At 39.1% G+C, this 24,931-nt stretch overlaps 1 long non-coding RNA gene and 1 pseudogene across 2 annotated transcripts; one reads left to right on the forward strand and one right to left on the reverse strand.

Moving 5' to 3' along the window:
* Positions 1-2,314: 2,314 nt before the first annotated feature.
* On the forward strand, positions 2,315-19,144 carry SERTAD4BP (SERTA domain containing 4B, pseudogene; annotated as a pseudogene). Its single transcript, NR_015358.2, has 4 exons — positions 2,315-2,546; positions 3,649-3,772; positions 12,755-12,870; positions 12,981-19,144. The product of NR_015358.2 is annotated as an SERTA domain containing 4B, pseudogene (transcript).
* LINC00644 (long intergenic non-protein coding RNA 644) lies at positions 19,107-24,931 on the reverse strand. The gene is made up of 2 exons (NR_104063.1): positions 24,867-24,931; positions 19,107-19,336 (listed from the first exon to the last, which is right to left on the reverse strand). It is a non-coding gene; the product is annotated as a long intergenic non-protein coding RNA 644 (long non-coding RNA).

A 24,931-nucleotide genomic window follows, 5' to 3' on the forward strand; every position in this document is an offset into this window, starting at 1 on the left:
TATAAGATGTTTTGAAAAGGAAAAAAAAAAGTCACTTTATAAACACAATGTCTCATTAAGGGAAGAAAACTATTTTCTGTATAACAGGCTTTCCCCCAGCTCCCTTCTTCTGCTTGAGTAACTGTAAAGACAGCAACTAGTGGCTGCCTTCAAGGTTAGTGTAAGTTCATGAACTGATAGCTACGTAGCTAAGGTGAAAACAGGGACCTCAAACCAGGCAGGGTGGATTCATCTATTCCCAGGCGTTCTTGGTTACCTTTGATGTACCAGGCACTGTGTGCTAGACAGTTGGGACACAGTGTTAACCAGGTGAACTAGCTTAAAATCTGGTGTAATGAATATTGTGAAATAGGATTGGTAGGGTGAATTGGGAACATAATTAGGGGGCTAATGTAGTCGGTGGGAGGCTGTCAGGGGAAGCTGCTATGAGGAAGTGGTATTTAAGCTGAGACGTGAAAGCTGAGTAGGAGTAAGCCAGGTAAAAGGGAGGCACATTAAGAAAGAAGAAACAGCATGTACAAAATACCTTAGGCAAGTGAGACCCTTCCCTATTCAAGGAAACTGAAAAAAGTCCAGCGTGACTGGACCTTAAAGAGCAAGGAGGAGAGTGTTTTGAGATGAGCTGGACAAGAAGACAAGGCTCATTGAGATATCAGCTGCATCTTGCCCTTATTCCAACGAAGAAGGAAGCAGCAGTGGTGTACTTCTGGCTAGGACCATCTCCTGGATGTGAAGTGTACCCGTCTCAAAGCCCCCTGTCATACCCGATAGCTGAAACTTTATCATCAGATCTTCAACCCACTGTGGCTTATTATTACTTCTTCAGACAGTTCGATTTTAGGTTACCAGCTTTTTAAATCTTAGGGCTAACAAACTGTTAGCTTTGCCACAGGCTTTCAGTAGGTGCTGAGAGAGCAAGCAGGGGGCCCTGAGAGTGGTGGGGCCGCTGGTGTAGCCCCTTCAGCCTCACAGAGTGCCAGCCACCAGAGGAATCAACATAACACTGCACAGCAGCCCTGCCCTGGCTCCAAAGACAGCAACTTTTCTTTCTAATTGATTCCCAGTCGTGTTCTCTTCCTTCCAGGCCCTGGCATGACTCTACAGGGAACCAGGGAAGTGATGTGTCTCTTCTTCAGTGCGATTCTCTCTCCGAAGATAGCTTTGGGTAACATTTCTCTAGTAGATTTTTCATCTTCCCTTCTTTAATTTGGCTTACTGGCTACCCAAATTGCCCACTTTGATGTTCTAATCATCCCCCATCCCCAAGAAAACAGCCCTATTTAACAACAACAACAAAAGCAATGTAAAACATGAAAACATAGCTTGAGATATGAGAAATTATGCAATCATTTGGGGAAATGTATACTAATGTGTACATGTACACTAAAGTGTACTAAAGTGCTAAATCATGCACACCTCTAGTCTCCTTTGTGAAAAATACCTTTGCTTTTGTGCATTTTCATGTTAAAGAAGTTTACATGTTGGCCTGAGGTTTTAAGTAGCTGTTGGACCAAAATGAGGACTTTCTAATTGTGTGAAGGACGTGTTTTAGAGCACAAGAACTTTTTTTTTTTTTTTTTTTTTTTTTTAAATCTGAGGCCCCCTGCCAGTAGGCAGCCACAGACAACGCCAAAAGGAATTAGACTCTGGGCTGATTTTTATGGATTAGTTAACATATCCCTCCTCAGAATCTATCAAGTGCTCAAACCTGCAGACACAAACACGAACACACTAGGGAGGAGAGTCCCAGAAGGCGGAAGATCCCGTACTGCTCATCCCCAAACGCCTCACCCCGGGTCACACCCACGAACTCATCCGGTTCTCCCTTCTCAGGGTCCTACTCCAAGGCGAAGAGTATCCCAGAGGAAGGGTCAGGGTCTTAAAAAAAAAACAAAAAAAAAAAACACTGAGCCAAACCCCGCTGCTTCCTCAGCCGCTGAAAGTGCCGCCCCACCCCTCTCCCCAAACCCGACCTCCGTAGGGGACACCGAGCCAAGGCCTGCAGCGAGTGACCTGCCCGGGGAGGCGCGGGACCGAGGCTCACCTACCCGGGCCCGCGAGTCTCGCCCAGCCCCAGCCTCCCAACCCACTCTGCCGGCCCCAACTTAGGCGAGCGCAGTCGGGACCCTTCTGTCGGGGCTCTTTGTTCGCCGCCCCTCGGCGTTCCAGCTCTCAACCTTGCTCCCAGCAGCCCCCGCCGGCGCACTCGACCTACAGGAAAGTTGCTCCCGAGCTGTGGAGGGGCGTCATCGCCTCCTAGCAACGCTCCTAGCAACCGGGTAACATCTGCTCCCTGTGGTCCAATGCGAGCTGAGAACAGCTGCGCGCCCGCCTAGCGCTGCGAACCCGGAGTGAGAGGCGCTTCAGAGACTGGAGGGACGGACCTGCAGGAGCCAGGGCTGCCCGCCGAGCTGCAGTTGCCGCTACTGCCGCTGTCAGCGCCCGACTGAAGAGTGACAGCCGCAAAAGCAGGAGTGAGCACCGAACCCCGCGCTTCTACCTAACAGGTGCATGCGCCGATCTGGTGAGTGGACCCAGCTCACAAGGTATGTCTGGATTCATCCAGCCAGGTGCCTTCCTCCGAGCTCAGAAGGGACTCCTTTCCTTGAGGGGGAGGATAGGGACGTGTTCCGGGATCCCACCCCGCCCCCAACCACTGAAGAGTAGCCAGCTGCTGGTCCCAAATGACCTGATTCGATTTTTTAAATGTAAACCTTAGGATTGGTTCTTGGGTGAAGAGTCCGCTGCTCTTCGCTATTAGGTTAGCGTTCGGAAGTTTTCAGTCCTTGTTTTCCCGTTGACTTCGCTGCCTATGTGCAGCTAGGCTGGAAGCAGCAATCGCTGATAGAAAGCCTGTGGTTAAAGCTCAAACGACATAGTGTAGTCTCGACTAATTGAATCAACACGTATGGATAGCAACATTCTTTTTAGGTCCTCCTCTGGAAAGGGTCCATTTGGCCAAGAGCACTGTTCACTGTTACTCAACCTCCTGAAAAGTAACCATAGTAACTCACCTCTCTTTTGATGGGATCCTCCTTATTGGCTGCCTATCTTCCTTTGGAAAGCGCATCTCTCTAAATTTAGAAGATGATGAGATCCGTAAGCATACATCCATGTAGAAAAGGTGCAGTTAAACATGGCCCTTTAAAGAAATGCTGTCTTCAAAGAAAAAGTAGCATTTGGCGATTTCAAATCTTGTGAGAAAGAATGTGCATTCCAAAGAAAGACGGGGTTCGTGTTTTGAGCTAACTGCTGGTTTGTTACTTTAGAGGGAATACTTCCTGAAATTATATAAAATCTGGCATTAAAACTTAAGAATGACTCTGATTTTTTTAAAAAAATATCAGCCTACTGATAATCTTCCAAAAATAATCTCCCAAGTAAATAACTGGTAAGATGAGTTATTCAGTTATTTCCAAATGTCTTAGGATAGTTAAGATTCCTTATGTTTAAACTTAAATCTGGACAACACTGAAGTGATTGTGTGTGTTTGAAGGTTTATCTATCTATCTAGTCCAGACCAACCCCATCTCAAATATCTTAGATAATATCCTCCTGCTGCAGGCTTTCTCCTGACTTGAGAACCAGTTCATGTCAGTGCAGTCCTGACTCGCCCGATGTTATTTGTGTCTGTCTCCTTGTTTCAAGATCTCAGGTAACCATTCATGAGCCTGAGGCTGTGAGAAATGCTCGCTGTGCAAAGGGGAACTCTCACCAGATTTTCTGAAACTGTTCTAGAAATACACTTTTCGGATTGATTCAGCATTACCAGGTAATTGCTAGCTTAAAAGAAATTACTGTTTAAATATGTATCCAGAGAAATGAATGCTAATGTAACATTACCATAACTTATAAGATCAATATAAGGGGTTGTTTATATAGATGGTTGCTGGGTAGAAGTCAATAGAGGTTTTCTGTAAAAAGGACATTTGTGGGCTGGCTGATTTTCCTCTCTAAGATCCGTGTGAATAGGGTGGGCCAAATTAGGTAGCCTGGCTCCGGAAACATGCCAAGCGGAAGCCTACTGAGCACACGAGTGCATGTCCGAATGAAGGAAGTGAGGAGAACTCTCCAAGTTGCAGAAAGAGATTATTGTGATGTTTCAAATTTAATTTGCATAAGGTCATGAGGATAGAAACTTATGAGGCTTCAACATTTTAAACTCAATTTTCAAGACTGAATACGTCTTAAATGAGTGTTCAACCCTCCAGCATTTGTAACTTTCACATGTACTGTGCCCTTCCTATAGGTAACCAGCCTAGCAAATTGCAATCAAATTTATAAGAATATACCATGCTGCATTTCATCCCATTTCTTTCCTCCCTTTATAAAAATAAATAATTGACAATTCTTATTCAGAAACCTATTTGAAAATTTATTCTGGTCTAGTGGTACAGATTTATGAATACCGTGAGACTTTAAGATTATTGATCTCTATAGTCACTTGTTTAAATATCTGTAGTTTAATAATTTTAAGGATTAAAGATTAGCATTTGAACTGTCAAAAATGTTGGTTTTGTTGGCCCTTAGCACCATCCATCCTTCTTCATTTATCATACTGACTGTATTTTATGGTGAGAAACAACCCAAAGAGACCAATAATATTTACCGTCATCTGCCATGAGATGTGTACAGAGTTCCATTCATGCTATCAATCTGAGGAAAGTTTGAGCAAAGCAGCCACAATTATTGGTTCATGTAGGTGAATTAGTTGTGTGATTAGTAATTTATACCACAGCCTGTCTCTTATGTCATGTGCATAAAAGTTGAAGATCATTCAGTGCCCTTTAATTTACGTGAATCAGTCTGCCCTTTCGTTGAGACTGCTGCCACAATCCAAAAGGGCAATGAAAGAGGTTCTTAAATTTTAATTTTGATTCTATCATAAATGTGTAATATGCAGACTATATCCTGTGCAACTTTGATAAACGGATCTGTTTGAAAAGTCATTCATCAGAAAATTTTATGGTATTTAGCTTCAAAAAATAAAAATAAATCAAATGGTATCATTATAATATCCACATTTAATCCTGGAGACATTGGTGGGTCCAAAGTTAGAGTGTGGAAGAAAATTCCACCAATTTTTATTTAAGGATCTAGTCACCCTCATCAATTTGAACACCAGCTGCACTTGTATATGTAATGGGTTATAAAGAAGGCATGCACTTAGGAGTATAAGATTTGGCTAAAGCTGAGATCAAGCAGGTTACTAAACCAAATTCTAATTTCAGTCTTTTTTACTCATATACTCTATTTGGAAGTTTTTAGGCATGTGTGAAAATTCTATGTTCAATTTTATGTCATGTAAACTTCATGGAATTTAGAAGACGCCTTGATGCAGACAGAGATGTTGAAAACTTTTATCAAGAGGTTGAGGCCCTTACCTCCATACCTGGGCTCTCTACTGATGACTCATGTCAGCTGGCATCCCAACAATAACTCTAAAGCCAAGGAATAATCAGTTCAGATTGCTCTATTTGTCAAAGCAATATGCCTCAGAAACCTAGAAAAAGCTAAACTGCTAACTCTGAAGCAGAGGTAGGAGTACATTGACCAAAACCATTCAGCACTAAAACGAAGGAAGGATACCTTTGAGTTTTGGGAGAGGCCAATCCTTGTCGATTCTTTTTTCCTTTTTCTTTTTAAGTTGTTTATCTAAATAGTGTTAATACATTAATGTTTACTCTTTGTAATCTAACACCATTTTTTATATTTTCTTTTTTCCTAATTAAATTTATACAAATGGGCTAATTAACAGAGCCATCCAATTCACTGCAATAATTCTCAGCTGGGGGGAAGGGGTGGCGGAAGGATATTACTGAAAAGCACTAAGAGCTAACCAATGTTGTCCTCAATATTGTAATATAGCCTTATGTTTAGAAAACAAAAGAACGACAGAAAGTGAAGTGCAGCAAAAAGGCTTCTTGGTAGAAACACAAGAAACACAAGATCTGAACATCAGTGGTGCTTAGAAGGACAGGAGGTACACGTTTGAGGCTGGGAAGTCTACTCTGCGTGTGTATTTCAGAGTACATATTGTTTTCAAAGTGCTTAGGAAAAGGGAGCATGAGTAAGGAACATGAAGAAAAGTTGGGAATATTGTAAAGAGAGACAAGACTCAAGAGCCTAGAACCTCAATTCTGCCTCCATGTGCTGCTCATTTTACTGCTTTATGGCTCATTTTCTCTCTATCTAATGTGGGATATAAGACTACAAGCTTAAGTAGATTGCTTGAGCATGAATGTAACACAATTTAATGAAGCAACTGTAGCTCTGTAAGAAAAACTTTTATGTTCACGGGTACCTGTGCAGGACTGTTACACGGGTGAATTGTATGCCACTGGGTTTGGTCTACAGATTATTTCACCACCCCCATAATAAGTGTAGTACCTGAGAGGTAGTTTTTGTATCCTCACCCTCCTCCCTCAAATAGGCCCCTGTGTCTGTTCTTTGCGTTCATGTGTACTCAGTGTAGCTCCCACTTATAGATGAGAAGATGCAGTATTTGGTTTTCTGTTCATGTGTTAGTTCTCTTAGGATAATGGCTTCCAGCTCCGTCTATGTTGATGCAAAGGACATGATTTCATTCTTTTTTTATGGCTGTGTAGTATGGCTGTGTGCTATTCCATGGAAGCACCTATATAGCTCTTTAGCGAAAAGGTACCCTGTGAATGAAAATTATTTCACCACTAGAGCAACTCCAGGTGAAACACAAATCAGATACCATATGAGTGAGGGCAGAGAGTCACCCAACTCCACGCGAATCCTCATGTGTTTTAAAGTGAGTAAAATTAATGATTAATTCAATCTTATGTTTTTTTACAACCCTTTTGGGATAGCAGAAGCAACGTTGGCGTGGATAGATGTTTTTGTTAATATACTCAAGCATGGAGTGGTGGTGGTAGTGATATCAAAGTGGAAGACAATGTGAGTGATATAGATCAGGTACTTTTAGAAAGGCTGCTATTATCCATAGGTTAGGGATTAAAACTCTTTTCTTTGAGTACCAGTCCTGGGTATCGAGGGAAGTTGTAGTATCTCTCTAGCATATCTCTAGGTATGGATTTCTTGGAACCCATATACTGCAATGTGCTTCCAAAAAAGCAATTTTCTTTCTAATTCATTTCTACTTTCCAAGGTAAAAGATGGGGTAAAAGGAAGCATCATTCCTCAGAATCAGGAATGCACTTCTAGGGGGTGGAAAATCAAAAAGTTTACCCAAGAAGCCTCCTGCACTTCGCCTCTAAATTTCTGTCATTAGCAGGGCCAGATCACGGCAGCAACTGGCTTTAGTGCAGCATCTAAGGAAACCTAATGGTGTTCTGTTTGGTTCAGAGACCATTACCATTGGAGCAGGATAGGCTTGTGGAACTGGTGGGGTTTTCTTTACTATTCCATGCCTGTGCTTGGGGTTATCCCAAGGGACATGGATGCAATCTAGTACCAGACAATGCTGCTGGTATCTTGAGAAACTCTTCTAAGTCATTGGCTCTCAGTATTCCTGGAAGTTCCTAAGAAAGTCTGCTCGAGCTGGAACTTGTTAGTAATTCTAAATTGCCAGTAAAGTCAATATTGTGCTTGGGGTGGATAAATCTGAAGAAACAGATTGCTCCATTGATTTGGAGATAAAACCTGACACTGAGTTCTGCTACCATAAAGGATATTATCCAGAAAGGTGATAGGCAAGGGGGTTATGAGAGAGAAGAAAGATGGCTGATGGAAAATTGTTAAACATCAACAGAGCCAAAGGTCTCCAGAAGGCACAGCATCATAGCCTTGAACTTTGCACCCATCTACCTTCTTGAATACACTCATGAATGCTTCATGCAGCCCATGCTTAGCACTAAAGAGAGGACCAATGTCCTAGGTATAATATAATGCTGCTGAGCAGGATATGTACTTATGATTTCAAAATGAAGTCACTGCAATAATAATACGTAACATTTACTGAGCAGGAAATATGAGCACATGTGACAGGCACTGAGTAACTGCTTTTTAAACATCATCTCTTCTAATTCCAGTAAAACTCAATGAGTTTGGTATTGTCCCCCCGTTTAACAGATAAAGAAAAGTTAGGCTCTTTGAGTTTAAATATCTTGGCCAAAGTCAGTAAGCAAATAAACTGTAGAGCTGGTATTTGAACTAGTGCCGTTGGACAGAACTAGAAGGTTATGCTGAAGTATTTCAAGCCATGCAGTGAGACTGCAGAATGTGGTTAGCAGGGACAGATGGGGTAACTCTTTCTAATCAACTGTGGTCATGGCCCTTAAGGAAATATCTCCAGTAGCTTTGTCACCAGCAAATCATTATTTAGCTAGATAGGGACAATTGCACTTTTAAAGGCTCATGCCAGGCTAACATGTTACAAAGAAAAATCAGTAAGACATTGTGAAGCTGAGGTGCCTGATTTATCTATAACACAAGTCAGTTGTTGATCTGAGATGGAACCCACCTTCTTTCTTGTCATTGATCAGCCTCCACCCCTTCTGTCTGTGGGTAGGATGCACACATCTAATAGGATGGTTTCAACTCTGTTTTTGGAATGTTTTGATTTAAATGTTGTGGGGGGAAAAATGAAAGCCAAACTAAAATTAGGATATATTGAACTGATCACTTCTTCACCATGTCTCCAGCTTTGAGTCTTGACAAAGAATGGATTGCTTTGACAGGAGTTGTTCTTTTTACTGTGGTCTGTTATCTCAAAGTGTTTGTAAATTAATTTGCTGATGATGTTTCCTTAATGTACTGTCTCCAGACCATGTACCAAATGAAATCACTTACACCGTAATAGGATTTCAGTTTTCTGGAGGCAGAAGCAGAGCAATGAGGAAGAGCATTTGAGCAATCATTTGTAATTACATTTTAAACATTTATTTAAAGAATTATATAAAAATTATATTGCTAGAACTCTAATGACAGGGATGGTCACTCTGTTCTGTAACTTTTAATTTGTTGGTTATTTATGTTTTATACTACCAAATACACTGAGCTTGGCACAGATATTTTATGGGCCCAGAGGATATAGCATTAGAAACAGCTTGAATATTCAAGCCATCATTAGCCATTTCACTTTCAGAGACAAATTTAGGCTCAGCCTAATTCAGTTTTGTAATTTACATACTGTTCTCAGAGCTCAGAACACTCAGAATGTGAAGACATAAAGTCATTTCATTTTTTTTCTTGTCTATTTCGTCATCTTTATTTGAATAATAGGCTGGGTTAAGTTTGGCCTTTTAGTTGCAGGAGAACTATAACCGATTTACACATGTTTACTGAATCATAACAACCAAACTTCTTTGGATAGTCAGATCAACTTTAATTAATTATCCAGATGATTACCTGTATGTTTCAAAAATAGTTTACACCTCCTTCACCCAAAATGCATGACCAGTGGCAATACACCAGAAATATTTGGAGTTGTTATAGAATCTGTACTACGTTTTTTCAACTTGATCATTTGCAATATCTTCTTGCAGTTTTTTTTAACTGTCTAATTACAATCTAGTATCTTTGGGAGGCAGGGTGGTGGAGTCTTTGAGTCAGAGCTAGGAGGCCAGGCTGGGCTCTGCTTCTATGTGGTAGATTTGTGACTAATGGCACAAATAAGGTCTACAATTTGATTGAGTGTTTACTATATGCTAGGCACAGTGCCAGTCACTTTCCATGAATTATTTCAATGATCTTATGAGCCAGTGTTATTTCTATCCTTACTTTACAAATGAGATTTCTAGAGAGTTTATGTAATTTGCTCAAAGTCACTCAAATAAGAAGCAGCAGAGCTGGAATTCAGACCACTTCCATCTGACTTCAAAACCCAAACTCATAGCCACGTGCCAGAATGTAAATTATTGAACTCGTCTGGGCTGTAGTTTTCTCATCTGGACACTGAGGAGGCTGAATCAGGTGATGGATACATAGTTATCAGCTCCGAATGTTTTGAGTTCTAATCCAGCCAAGCAAACAGATGTAGGAACTTATGTTTGCTATATATTTTAACCTAAAAGTGGCTAGAACCATCCTCCAAAATTGATACTGAAAACATTTTAAATAGCTAAACAGCTTTCAGGGAGATAATTGTCAAACTGATACCAGCTGTGAAGGCTTTTCAGCATTTTAACAACCCATGTGGGTATTTTTTAAGAGCAATAAACTAAATGGCTAAGTGTGTTGCCCACGGAGGAGCTGAGACTCAAATCTAGAACTCCTGGGAATTTTCTCTGTATTTTCAGGATCTGATACATTCAGTATATTAGGCTAATTGGTTGATGATAGCCAGACAGTCTTTATGAACCTTGGAATCATTTGATATGATTTTTTTGGTCTTGATCTGTCAAATAAAAATATCTTTCCTGGAGGTACACTTGGGATCCAGAACTATAAGTTTATTTGTCATTTGGTTCTCTAATCTGCCACCTGCCTTCCCTTGTATTACTCATTAAAAGATTCTTAATTGGTCATAAATGCTGTAGATATTGCATTACATTGGAAGATAAAATGAGCAGACATTTTAAAAAGATACATATAAGAAAGTCATGTTTGCTCATGATGAAGTTACTCATCTCATTTTCTAGCCTTTTCTCACTGTCACCTACACTATAGTAATTCATTAGAGCTTGTTAAAAAAATTAGAGACCTGCCCAGCTATCATGCTAATAATAGCCATTGATGCTTCTCAATGTGAACCCAGGAAAAGTGACTTCATTCTTCACTATTTAGTTAAAATGCAGTCTGGCTTTGTTCATGAGGCTAAAGCATCTAAGCCAGTGTAGGGAAGCAATAGCAACAACAACAACAATCAATCAAACCAATTGCCTGGCATTCTATTGATATGGCAATCAGCTGATTGACTGAATGTTCTGCTCTTAACTTGTTGCCATAGTGCTACTACTACACCTGCTGAATGCTGCAACCTAGAGGCTCTCAAAATGCAATCCCCAGACTGGCAGCATCAGCATCACCTGGAAATTTGTTAGAAATGCAAATTCACTGCTGCTAGCCCAGATCTACTGGATTAGAAACTCTGGGGGTGGGACCCAGCAATTTGATTTAACATACCCTCCAGATAATTCTGATGCTCACTAACATTTGAAAACTACCATTACATCAATTAGTGAAACAGTTTAAAAAAAAAGTACAAGTAATTGTCACACGGGATAACCCAAAGCTTCACCTAATTATTTGATTAAATCCTTAAAAAATATACCAAAGAAAATGCAGTTTACTAAAAAACAGCCCCTGAGAAACCTGGTTTCAGTGATGCTTTCTTTGTTCTCTCTACAATCAGCTTTGTTCTTCTTTCCTAAACTTTTGAAATCATTGAAAACTCTATATAAGCTGAGTTTGCTTACTGAATTCAGGGACTGTGTAGGTATAGTAGTAGCAACTATTGTCTTTGCTTCAGTTCACTTGTGAATTATCATGACATATTCATTTCTTTTAAGATCAGATACACCACTGTTTTAAAATTCTTCATTCCCTTAACAAAACATAACAACTATAACTTAAGGCTTTCTTGGGTTAATAATCCACAGTGATGTCAGTGGAAAACTGGAATGCTTGGGAATGATTTTGTAGCTTTTCTTACTGACTGAGGAAAATCATTTAGCTACAAAAAGTTGCGGGAAGCTTTTGTAGCTTAGATGCACTGAGTTGGAGGACAAACTAGAAAAAGCAAATTCTTGAACACATTTAAAATATTTAAGCTTAGAAAAATTTAAGATTTTAGAGGAAAACCATCAAATGTCTTGCTGTAGATTTATTTAACTAACACATACATTATTCATTCTTTTGTGAACTAAATGGTTTCAACACATAGAAATATTTGAGGATGTGTATTAAGGGTAAAATAAATTATGTTTAAATATGAAGTTTCTTTCTGGCCTGGTCCCCCGAGGTTGAATGAGAATTGAACTGGACTCAATTTGTTTTCTAAATTCATTCAGTGCTTTCTCTAGAAGCTGCTTGTCTTTAGCTTTCAAAGTAGATCTTGCCTCCTTTTTGTGATATGAGTGCCACCTAGAGTACACTCTGAGAACTCCCTTAAGCACTATCGTTAAACTAAACGATAACTGAAAATTGGCTTTTGGAACTCCGTCCTTCCTTAAGCAAGTAAGAACCTCAGTAGCAATCGTATTTTAAAGGAGAAAACAAAGGTCTTCACTTTCAGTATTATGACAAGGTCAAGTTTGCAAGTCAGAACGTTACCTAAATCTTTCATTTACTTAGAACACCATTAAACCATGTGTTAGGACGATGGCTACACCATAATCATATCATAGAGTGTTTTGTCTACAGATACACCATTATTTCTTTAAAGTGTAATTGGGCTGCCAACTATTTTATGCCAGTTTGATTAACCTAGTGACACTAAATGATCTCTCTGTATTAGGCAGTTTAACTAAAAGAATGATGAAAAATTTCTTTTCTCCTCCCATTACATTCCATTTCAAATTTGGGTGTGTTTTGACATTAAATGGCATGAAATAAAATAGTATATTGGTATTTGACTTCTGAGGGGCTGCATAAGGAAATAAACATGAGTATCCTATCTAGAACATCTGTTTTGGGTCTGAATGGTGGTATTTTCCTGCCTGCAGGCTTTTCAATCCAGGGCAGTTGTCACTGCTTCACCACGTTGAAGGGAGAATACCAATTTCCAGGATCACCAGTTTATTTTTATAGATAAAAGTTATATTATAAGATACTATTTGCCACAATAAAATCTAACCTTTCCCCAATTATTTTATTTGTTTAGCTTATCCAACAAAAGTATTAACATATACATTAACAACGTCGAAAGTAGCCTACTTTAAGAGAAAATATGCAGAAGAAGAAGATTTACATCAAGATTACCATGGGTATTTTCCAAAAGTAAGGGTTTACTTATTATTATTTGTTCATTTTCATGAATGTTGTCAACATAAAAAGCTGTAGTTTTTGTTTTTCTAAATATAGATTTAATGATCATGTTTGCTTTCCAGCACCTGATATTACCTGAGGACAGAACTTGCATTCTCAAACTTTCTCTGGAGAAGCTCAGGTTTCTTGAAGACCCAGAAACCTACTTAAGAAGGTCTGTGTTAATTAACAATTTGCTGAGGAAGATACATCTAGAGACGGAGAAAGAGAGCTATGAATACTTTAAAGAAGCTCCCTGTTATAAGACTGCATATTCTGATACAAGAAAACGGCTGAAGTTTATGGTACAGGAATGCTGTTCTCAGTCTCTCTATTATGAAGAGCTGCATTCGTATCATATTGTGCCTTATGCTTCGGAGAATGCCATTTATGAAATGGGCTACACTAGCAGCCACTTGGAGCAAAATTCTCAGTTGCTTATTTATAAAATGAATTAAAGTAACTGTTAAGTCCATTGATACTTTGTTTCTAAATGCTTGAACTGTTTATAGTGAAGATGTTAATATAAGGCACTCATTACCAGTGCACTTGATATCAAAGATGAGATGCATGCTGAACTGATTGGAGAGAGCAATGGTTATTACTCAGCAGTCCTTAGAATCATCAAATTGAATAGAAAATATGTTCACATATGATAAAGCGGTCAATTAGTGCTTTAGAAGCAAAGATTTTTTTTAAACATAAGATGTGTAGGAAGGGGCCTACGTTAAACAATTACACAGATGAAAAATTTTCTTTTATGCCTTGATTTCCAAATTCTGCCACTCTTACTGGAAAGTAATGAAAGTAACAGATTAAATTGATAATGCCATGTCCCTGAGGATGAAGGGTGGAACACATTTAATTTTCTGTAAATGATATGAGGAAGGGCTGGTTCTTTCTGAAGTGCTTTGACTTGTCAAGCATTGTGCCAAATAATTGACACCATTCTCCTTTTACCATTAGTAGCAATTCGAGATGGGGCAAAGACACTGCAACTAAACTGCTGAATGTAACAACCAGATTACTCCAAACTGATCCATTGTACTATTTTGCGGGGAGGGCTTAGACTTTTCTCTTTAAAAGTGAATTTTAACGAAATAGCCTTGCAGATGGGCTTATCTATAAGTTCTACAGGTTGGTTAAAATTTGTGGTGGGCCTTTAGTTAGCCGTTTACATTTTATTTGTTTTTTTTTATAGGCTGTGAAGCTCAGGAAAAGGGTAGGCAGGTAAAATTTGTTTTTAATGAGTTGATACTTTTTAGAAACCTTATCTGCAAAAATTAATGAGAACAACAAATTCCACATGATGTTATTTCTTCATCTAGCTAAGAGTACATTTAAGGCTGCCTGGATGAAACTTTGCACTGATTTTTGTATAATAGTTGATCATTCACTATTTGACAAATTGTTTCAGAATGCCTTTGGTGGTGAAGTTTAGATAAGTCCCTATGTTTTGCAATTTTACAGATAATTATTTAACAAGTTGGATAGATTCATGAAATTGTTTGAAGTGGTTCATACTGTTCTTTCAGGTTTGAGTGAGATGTCAGATTTCAGTGTCTGAAGTTTTGTCCTATGGAGCATATCATTTAAAGAATTGTCATTAACTGATAAAACAGATTGGAAAAACTAGGTGCCAAAGGTGTATTTAAGAAAATACCAAAGACTCAAAGATGAGTGTTAGGAAGACTATGATAATGAAGATAAGAATCTAAAGTAAGGATTGCATAGGACATAGAAGAACATTGTTAAAGGGGTTTGGAATGATTTGCTTACTAATGTACTTTCAGAACACTTTATACATAATAATGGTAATCAAGGGCACTGCTTTAAATGAAGATACTACAGACCTTTAGGAATCATATGCCTTGGAAAACAATCTATGTATGGTGACTTGTCAACAAAGTATCTTCCCTAGTTGGATGCCAACTTGTAACCAAGAAGACTTTCTTCTATTCAAGAGAAATTTGGTTTTAGTTTTGATTTAATACTTGGTCCCTCTAATTAATCACTGGGGTGATTAACATGAATTCTGTTGGTATAAAGAGTATTGGTTCCCTAATTAGCCTGCATTGTTGAAGACCACATAGATGTATTACTGATAAGACTATGAGGCTCATGTTTAATTACTCAATCAAAATTAGGAAGAAATGCTTTGGAAGAAACTAAAAAATTACAATTTAGGTTAATTTTTAAAGGCAATTTAGTATACATGATGAGCTAGCTTTGAAATACAGATTTAAATGTTTAAAAATTAATTTGAGGGCAAGATTTGGTACCAAAGTTTCAAAAATTTTATTTCACTGCTTATAAAATACTTTATCAGAACACTTATTTTAAAAAATAACATCTTATTTGAAAAACTCCAAATTTGATGGGATAGTTACACCATCATACAATTTTAAAGGTAGAATTAGCTTTCTAATACTTTAAAATATTTTCTGAAATGAACATTTCACTTGGTTTAGGACCGTGTCTGTAAGTAAAAGACACCAATGCTAATAGATATGACTTACAAAAATGCCACATATCGAAATTGATTGAGGATTGAAATATATATACTTTGGCATTGAGAAGAGAGGAAGAGAAAAAAATAAAAAAAGTGTGACATTGTAATATTTATTGTATTTAATAAATCTTGAAGAAAGAACTCTTGAGCAATGAACCAGTGACAGATATAAAAGCCTGTTTTATTTGATGACATCATTAACTGAGTTTTCTCATCTATACATTCATACATCGAGAAGGAACTGTCTTAAAAACCAGTGTTTCTTTTTTTTTTTAAGTTCTAGCGTACATGTGCAGAATGTGCAGGTTTGTTATATAGGTATACACGTGCCATGGTGGTTTGCTGCACCCATCAACCTGTCATCTACATTAGGTATTTCTCCTAATGCTATCCCTCCCCAGTGATATTTGTTAATATGCTTTTTTAAAAAAGTGTCTGCCTTGAAACTGGTAATTAAAAAATATCTCCTAGGGCATTTAATTATTTTTCCCAATAAACAACTCATAGATAACGGGTTGACTAATGTTATCTTTATTTAGAAAATTTGTATGTAAACTGTGTAAACTTGTCTGAGTTAACCAATAGACTACCGGGGTTTTAGCATGGTAAACTGATATACAGGGAGACCCAAATACAGGCTTGCTTTGCTGACTACCCAGCGTGCTTTATTACAGGAGATGCAAAAGGTGGAAGACCAGTTACACCTTTTTTTTTTTTTTTTTAAAACCTGGACATCCTTTCTCTGGTGACAAGAGCCATCCTTATGGTAAGGAAGGTGAGATAGAAAATGGAGAACCTTTGGTAATGTTGATCTTTCTTGTGGGTGTCCACCTAGCCTAAAAGCCAAGTGAAGAAGAACATAAAAAAGCAGAAGAGGAAAAATGAAGAAAAGAGGAAAAAGAGGGTGGGGCCAGAGAAATAAAGAGTAGGATTAGTAAGTGAAAGAAAAAGTTGCTTTGTTGTGTGGGGGGGGTGTTCTTGCTTGCTATACTCAATTTTGCTTTCCCGTGTCTGCTGTACACAAAACACCTGATCTCTGCAATGTATTGCTCCTTTCTTTCATTCACCTGTGATGCATAAGACTAGATTATTTTCGGCATATCTACTGTTTGCAAAGTGTTACTACTGAAAAATATCCCTGAAACTGAGCTCTTTGGGTGGATAAGCAAAGGAAAAATAGAAAATAATTAAGGTAAGGGAAAGGCTAAAGGATAAGCCTGTGTATAAATGGGAAATGGATAAGCTCAAATGCATTATCTGGTTTCAATGTAACACCCAAGATTTAACAAACTCAGTGCTAGAAGACTTGAAAATAAGTGTAATTTACCACCATCTATTGAGCAGCTATTATGAGCCAGGCACTGTGCTAGGGCTGGGGATACATAAGTGAATAATGCACAGTCCCAGAACTCAGATTATTTGGTTTTGTTTTACCAAATCCAAATGCAGTACCTGCATTTCTCTTTTCCAAACTGAGATGGCTATCAAACATGTCTTTCAGAAAGTGTTTGCAGGTGAGAAGATGCGCAAGGTGAAGGAAAGTTTTCCTGACCCAGATCTTAGAAGGAAAGGAGAGGATACATTTTGCTTTGTGGCATATTTATTGTGGGCAAAAAGCTACTATTGCCTAAGGGAAGTACGGCTGACCTTAGCCCATCCCTGGGGCATATCTTGTGCGTGTGGTGGGGAGACAAATCAGGTAGGGAACAATTCCTTCTCGCCTTACCTCTCTAGCTTCCATGTTCTTTTATGGAACAAATCAGATTAATACTAATGTTAAGGAGAGCTTTAAAGGAGAAAGAGAATCAATAAATCACAGCCTGAAAGTTGTGTATGTTGTGTGCAAGCTCAGAGGGGCAGTCTTCTTCAATTTGCCTTGTGCTGGTGAATTGCTTGAATGAACTTCGGTATTTCTTAACACCAGGTACTGGAGCCCACCTTCTTTCTCTCCCTCTGGTTTCCTCTTTAAATCACAGCCTGACCCCAGTCTTTATAGTCCATTGTAAGTGGAAGTTATAGCTCTATTCTTCACCCACACCTTGCTCCCTATCATTGATACTTAGAAGAAAGTAACAATTTGCAGTACTGGCTGAACTCCTTTGGGAAAGTTTCTGGAGTGTATCAAATAAGAATTCATCATAGTAACATGGTCGTTACTGGCTGAACAAAATTCTTTTTGAGACTATTGTACTTAGTCATTAAATAATTGTTTACTAAGGCAATTTTCATGTTTCTGGAATTCAGTGTAATAGTTAACAGCTGTATATGTCTCACAAAAGAAACTACTTAGGTTGGAAACAATGGAAGGTTGTGTATAATTAATTCAATCAGGTCATGAATATTTATGTAACATATGGCATTTTAATTTATATGTTCCCATTCTCATACTTCATTACTATACAGCAGCAACAAGATAAATTTCAGGTTTTTTGTTTTTTTATTAAGTGGGCCATGTCTAAAAGTTGTCACATTCCTGGTTGAATATTATGGACAAAATTTCCCCATTAAAGTAGTTTTGTCTTTCTCAAGGATTATCCTTTAGGGTTGGGTGGATTAAAAACATTACATTAGTGCTTCTTGAGCATACAAGTCACTAGGGATCTTGTGAAAATACAGATTCCTTTTAGTAGGTTTGGGATGAGGAATGAAGGTCTTCATCTCTCAAATCTCCCAGGTGATGTGGATGCTGCCAGTCCATCGACCACACTTTGAGTTGGGAGATTCTACATCTTTTGAGAAATATCCACACTGAAGCCTATACTCTTAAACTTTCAAAGACTCTGTGTTCATGTCTGTGTTCTGCAAGAATTTTTTCTTTTAAGAAATAAACTGCATAAAGTAAAATCAGAAAACCATAACACTGGTTTTCCAAATTTGCCACAAATACTGTAATACTCTGTAGAGTAAAATGCAAAGATTATTCCTGTTACAAGTTTTCTCTGTATCAAGTGCAGGAAAGGAACATGGGTAGAGTCATGTACCATTCTTATCAGTCAGGAGATGACACGTGGTAAATTTCTCTTCTTGATTTTCCTCTTGATTATACTCACATAAGGGAGCTCCATTTGGTAACAAAGATGAAATTCTGTTCACAGTTAACAAGAATTTAGCAACTTCTTGCTTGGCAAAATCTGAGACAACCTTACAAAAACATCCTACATTAAATTCAGAATTTTGGGTAGCTGCATAAGCTGAAGATTATGGAAAACCTGAGCTGAAAATGGCACCTGGATCTGTAACTTCTTGTCTTGAACTCTTTTTTGAGCTTTATTCTGTGAGAGATCTTCCCCTACAGTGATTTTTTCTGTTTCTCCTCAGTCGCTGGGGTCTCAGTAAGGGGTGGAGGATTGGTGTAAATGAGACAGTCACATAAATTGTCTAATTTGAGCATGCCAAGTGATTTTTGTCAGCCTCTTTTGGTCATAAAATTTTGGTATAGCTATTGTGAAATATAGTGTCATAAATTTGTCATAAGCCATTAATGAAGGAAGAGAAGCAGAAATTTATTTCTGTGGGAATGCACTCAAATATCAAGCAGATGGTGTTCTACAACATTTATTTGGGAAAATGTGTATCTGTTACATAATCTGAAATATGTCTTTTTCACATTTAAAAATATTTGGGTCATGATTTAGAGTTTTTATTGGATTGTTTTTTAAACTGAGAGGAAGAAGAAAGGTAATTGTATTTTAAAACATTTGACATGTTACTAATAAAATTTTATTTCTGGTGAAATATAGGTGCCTTTGTTAAGTAGGGGAGGTGGGATCATGAACATCTGGCAGCTGCTGCATGTCCCTTTTTTCCAGAGGCATCGTTTTAAAGTCAAATGCTTATTTTCTTTCAGCAGTTTGTTTTCAGCACAGTTTGCTTAAGGATTTAGAAGATATTCCCAGTCTCCTGGCACAGTTTCTTCACTGAGTGACCCTGAAATGGTTTTAAGATAGTGCAAGTCATTAAAAAGACACAACAGAACTGACTCCATTTAGGCATTATTTAAACATAACAACTATAAATCTCAGGGTGAAAGATAGCTCCTCTACCCAGTGAACAGCAGTGGGTGTGTGCATCATTCTCCATGATTCCTTAGGTGAACTGGGCATTAGATGAACTTGGATTCATTGGGTGAACTGGGCATTAGATGAACTTGGATTCATTAGGTGAACTGGCATGCACCAGAGACATAGCGTCCCTCTTTTTCTAGCAGGAGCTAGTGTTTGTTATCAGCTTTGCAAACTGATGATCGTAGGGGCCCCTACAAAACGCTGACTCATGTGGGGCATCAGTGCCCATGTAGGTGTTTCAAAGCAAATAACCTTTTTCTGTGTATATCCAGCGTTTTAGTCTGTTCTCTCACTGCTAATAAAGACATACCTGAGACTGGGTAATTTATAAAGGAAAGAAGTTTAGTGGACTCACAGTTTCACATGGCTGGGGAGGCTTCACAATCATGGCAGAAGGCAAATGGGGAGCAAAGTCATGTCTTACATGGCAGCAGGCAAGAGAGCTTGTGCAGGGGAACTCTTATTTACAAAACCATCAGATAGCATGAGATTTATTCACTACCATAAGAACAGTATGGGGGAAACCTCCCCCCCCTCCCCGATTCCATCATCTTCACCTGGCCCTATGCTTGACATGTGGGGATTATTACAATTCAAGGTGAGTTTTGGGTGGAAACGTGGCCAAGCCATTCTACCCCTGGCCCTTCCCAAATCTCACGTCCTCACATTGCAAAACCAATCATGCCTTCCCAACAGTCCCCCAAAGTTTTAACTCATTTCAGCATTATCTTGAAAGTCTACAGTCAAAAGTCTCCCCCGAGACAAGGCAAGTCTCTTCTGCCTATAAGTCTGTAAAATCACAAGCAAGTTAGGTACTTCCTAATACAGTGGGGATATGGGTATTGGGTAAATACAGCCATTCCAAATAGGATAAATTGGCCAAAACGAAGGGGCTACAGGCCCCATGCAAGTCCAAAATCCAGCAGGGCTGTCAAATCTTAAGGGTCCAAAATGATCTCCTTTGACTCCATGTCTCACATCCAGGTCATGCTGATGCAAGAGGTAGGTTCCCATGGTCTTGGGCAGCTCCACCCCTGTGGCTTTGCAGGGTACAGCCTCCCTCTCAGCTGTTTTCATGGGCTGCCATTGAGTGTCTGTGGCTTTTGCAGGCACACGGTGTAAGCTATTGGTGGATCTATTATTCTGGGTTCTGGAGGACAGTGGCCTTCTTCTCACAGCTCCACTAGGCAGTGCCCCAGTGGGAACTCTGTTTGGGGGATCCAACCCCACATTTCCCTTCTTGACTGCCCTAGCAGAGGTTCTCCATGAGGGCCCCGCCCCTGCAGATTTCTTTCTGGACATCCAGGAGTTGCCACATCTCCTCTGAAATCTAGGCAGAGGTTACCAAACCTCAATTGTTGACTTCTGTGCACCCACAGGCTCAACACCGTGTGGAAACCACCAATGCTTGGGGCTTGCACCCTCTGAAGCAATGGCCTGTGCTCTACATTGGCCCTTTTTAGCCATGGCTGGGATGCAGAGCACCAACTCCCAAGACTGCACAAAGCAGCAAGGCCCTGGGCCTGGCACACAAAACCATTTTTAATTCCTAGGCCTCCAGACCTGTGATGGGAGGGGCTGCTGTGAAGACCTCTGACATGCCCTGGAGGCATTTTCTCCATTGTTTTGGTGATTAACATTTTACTTCTCGTTACTTATGCAGCCAGGTTGAATTGTTCCTCAGAAAATGGGTTTTTCTTTTCTATCACATCATCAGGCTGCAAATTTTCTAAACTTTTATGCTCTGCTTCCCTTTTAGACATAAGTTCCGATTCCAAACCACTTCTCTGTGAATACATAAAACTGAATGCTTTTAAGAGCACCCAAGTCAAATCTTGATCGCTGTGCTGCTTAGAAAATTTCTTCTGCCAGATGCCTTAAATCGTCTCTCTCAAGTTCAAGGTTCCACAGATCTCTAGGGCAGGGGCAAAATGCTGTCAGTCTCTTTGTAAAACATAGCAAAAGTCACCTTTATTCCAGTTCCCAACAAATTCCTTATTTCCATCTGAGACCACCTCAGCCTGGACCTTATTGTCCATATCACTATCAGCATTTTGTTCAAAGCCATTCAACAAGTCTCTAGGAAGTTCCAAACTTTCTCACATTTTCCTGTCTTCTTCTGTGCCCTCCAAACTGTTCCAACCTCTGCCTGTTACCCAGTTCCAAATTCACTTCCACATTATCAGGTATCTTTACAGCAGTGCCCCACGACCCAGTACCAATTTACTGTGTTAGTTCATTCTCACACTACCATACCCAAGACTGAGTAATTTATAAAGGAAAGAGGTTTAATGGATTCAGAGTTCCACATGGATGAGGAGGCCTCACAATCGTGGTGGAAGGCAAAGGAGAAGCAAAGACACATCTTATATGGTGGCAGGCAAGAGAGCTTGTGCAGGGGAACTCCCACTTATAAAACGATCAGATCTTGTAAGACTTATTCACTATCAGGAGAACAATATGGGGGAAACTGCCCCCATGATTTAGTTATCTCCACCTGGCCCTACACTTGACATGTGGGGATTATCACAATTCAAGGCGAGATTTGGGTGGGGACACAGAGCAAAACCATATCATCTAGCAAGACAAAGTCTTGATTAAATGCACAGTTATTTGAGCAACCCAGTTATTTCAGTTTATATGAACAACTGACTCATATAAATGACAGACTATCACGTATGTGTTAGTAGAAACTTAAACACATCCAAGACAGTAACATACACATCCAAGACAGTAACATAAAGAGCTGATCAGTACTTTCCAGCAGTAAAGAATCAATCTTATATATTATATTATGTAAGTGCCTTGGATAGTGCCTGGAGCATATCTGGTAGTAATAAATGGCACTGTCCAAGTGACTCTTAGTTTATTTTTTAAAGAAATGTGTTTTTTTTCCATTGGTGTTCTACTTTAAAGTTTAAAAGTAGGTTGATATAATTTTCTTTCATATTGAAATTTGTAAGCTGGGCATGGTGGCTCATGCCTGTAATCCTAACACTTTGGGAGGCTGAGGCAAGAGGACAGCTTGAGCCCAGGAGTTCAAGACCAGCCTAGGTAATATAGTGAGATCTTGTCTCAAAAAATAATTAAAAAAACATTAGCCAGGTGTGGCAGTGCATACCTGTGGTCCCAGCTACTCGGGGGGCTGAGGTGGGAGAATCATTTGAGCCTGGGAGGTTGAGGCTGCAGTGAGCCAGGATCACACTGTTGCACTCCAGCCTGGGCAACAGAGCAAGACCCTGTCTCAAAAAAAATAAATAAGCAAAAAATAGAAGAAAGAAAAAATTTATGGAACACACACACATGCACACACACACATATAGAGAGTGCGTGAGAGTGGGAGCAAGAGAGAGAGAGAAACCACCAATTGCAGGTGAATGGGCCTCTTTATTTATTACCATTAAGAAGTAAAAGAAAGGGTGAGTACCTCAAGGTGTTTCTTTCAATAACCTTGGAATCTGCATGAGAATTTCAAGCCACATTGAGAAGCTTAAATATAGCGGAATTTGTGAGTTGATAGTTTTAACCTCAAAACGAAGATCCACCACAAAAAAATTTCTGTTTTTATTTCCCAACACTACTCCCCAACCTTATTCTAGCTTATTCCTGGCCCACTGCTTCTGTTTCAGACCTGATTGCTGTCACTGAAATTATATATTAATGGTAAACTCTACCAGGACAAATCTTTCAAAGGCTTTGGTTAAATCACCCCAGTCGTTTCTTCACATTTTACTTGTTTTCTTACAATTCCTCTGTGTGTTCCATACAGTGAGACTCACTACCAAACATTTACTTATCTGAAAGGTATTCATACTGTTGCCTCATGGATTTTATAATTAGAAGTGTTTACAAACAGTTCTATGTAAACTCAAATTATACAGAATTATTACTCCCCTCAATGCAAAAGAAGAGATATTAAATTATTATTAGTTCATACGTACAAGTAGAATACAGCACCACTTTGATCAATTATGGTCATAGTATTTCTATAGTTTATGAAGAAGCCAAATACAGAAGTTTTATCTGTATGTCTGATATTCCCTCCACTTTCTTTTTATCAGTTTGTGAAAAAAAGGGTACAATTCTTTAATTATCTAATTAAAATACTTCATGCTCACCTGACCTCATTGGCAGGAGGAAAGACTGGACATCTTTCTCCTGGGAGAGCTTACCCCAAGGTTCTCCAGGGCCATGTCCACTGGTCACTAGCCAGCTGCATCTTGTCAGGAGAGAGCAGGACTGCTTAAGGTGTCTAATCTTGCCAACTAGAGGCTGCTGGGGCTCAAGTAGCAAAGTGATGTCACCATGGAAACCAAGCCCTTCCAGGGCAGGCCTTACTACTACTTGTGGTTACCGTGAATAGGGAAACTGTCTTCTTACAATGGAACCTTATCCTGATTGCCCTATTTTTATAAAACACACATAGACTAAACTCCTTTTCATGTCATACTCCCCAAGGAAATTATCTCTGTGGATACTAAATAATTAAGAGGCCCAAATAAACTAGAAACTGTTGTCTCTGTTTAGCTTTCAAAATGAGCCAACTGCAAAAACTCTTCACTCTGTTGTAGTTGATAGGCCATTAGGAACTGGAAAACAAGCAAAACCCAAAACACTAAGTAGTTCACTGTCTCTGGTTTGTATTATGTCCACTTTCCCGGATCCCTGCATGATTGAATGGAATGGAATTGATGTAGTCAGCATTGATGGAGAGAGTTTTCTGCCTGGGGATAAGAAGCAGTCAAGTCGTGGGGAGGCAGAAGCATGGAAGCAACCTGGACAGTGGGAACAAATGCACCAGGGAATTAAATATTTATTCCTATATTTAGAGGAAAAGAACCCTAGGCATGGGACCAAAACTTCGACAGTGCTGTTTTTCCTTCTTTGAATTTGCTCTAAGGGTGTGAGTGTCTTTCAGACAGATGGCTGAAATGATTGCTACCATCACTTGCATATTGCACAATGAATTTAGTTTCATGGATTTGGTTTTATCTAAAGAAACTTTTATATTATTTTTACATACCACTGGCCTACTGATTTACAAACTTGTATCCTATTACCCTGGAACAAAGACCCAGTAATTGTCCTGGTTATAGAATGAGACATCATCTGGGAGAATATAAGGGATATCCTCAGCCAAAAACAAGATTATAGTATTGGAAAAAATGCTCCTGGAGATGGTGAGGATGCACACATTATAATATGACAGCCCTTCAGTAATGATGCCAGGCTTCTCTCTCCTATGCAGCAGTTTCCAAAACAATGCTGCCTGAAAACACATCTCCAAAAGAGAGTCTGTAGGCTAGCTTTTTGGGTTTTAACCTTAACTTCCCATTTAAGCTCACAGAAAAAAAAATATGACATTAAATCTCCCTGCCTTTATGGGTACTTACTGTTGCCTGAATGATGGAAAGCTCTTTCGAAAAGATGGTTTTCTGCACTTTTGCTTTTCTTCACC

The sequence above is a fragment of the Homo sapiens genome, chromosome 14 (genome assembly GCF_000001405.40).
Source record: "Homo sapiens chromosome 14, GRCh38.p14 Primary Assembly".
NCBI lineage: Eukaryota > Metazoa > Chordata > Mammalia > Primates > Hominidae > Homo > Homo sapiens.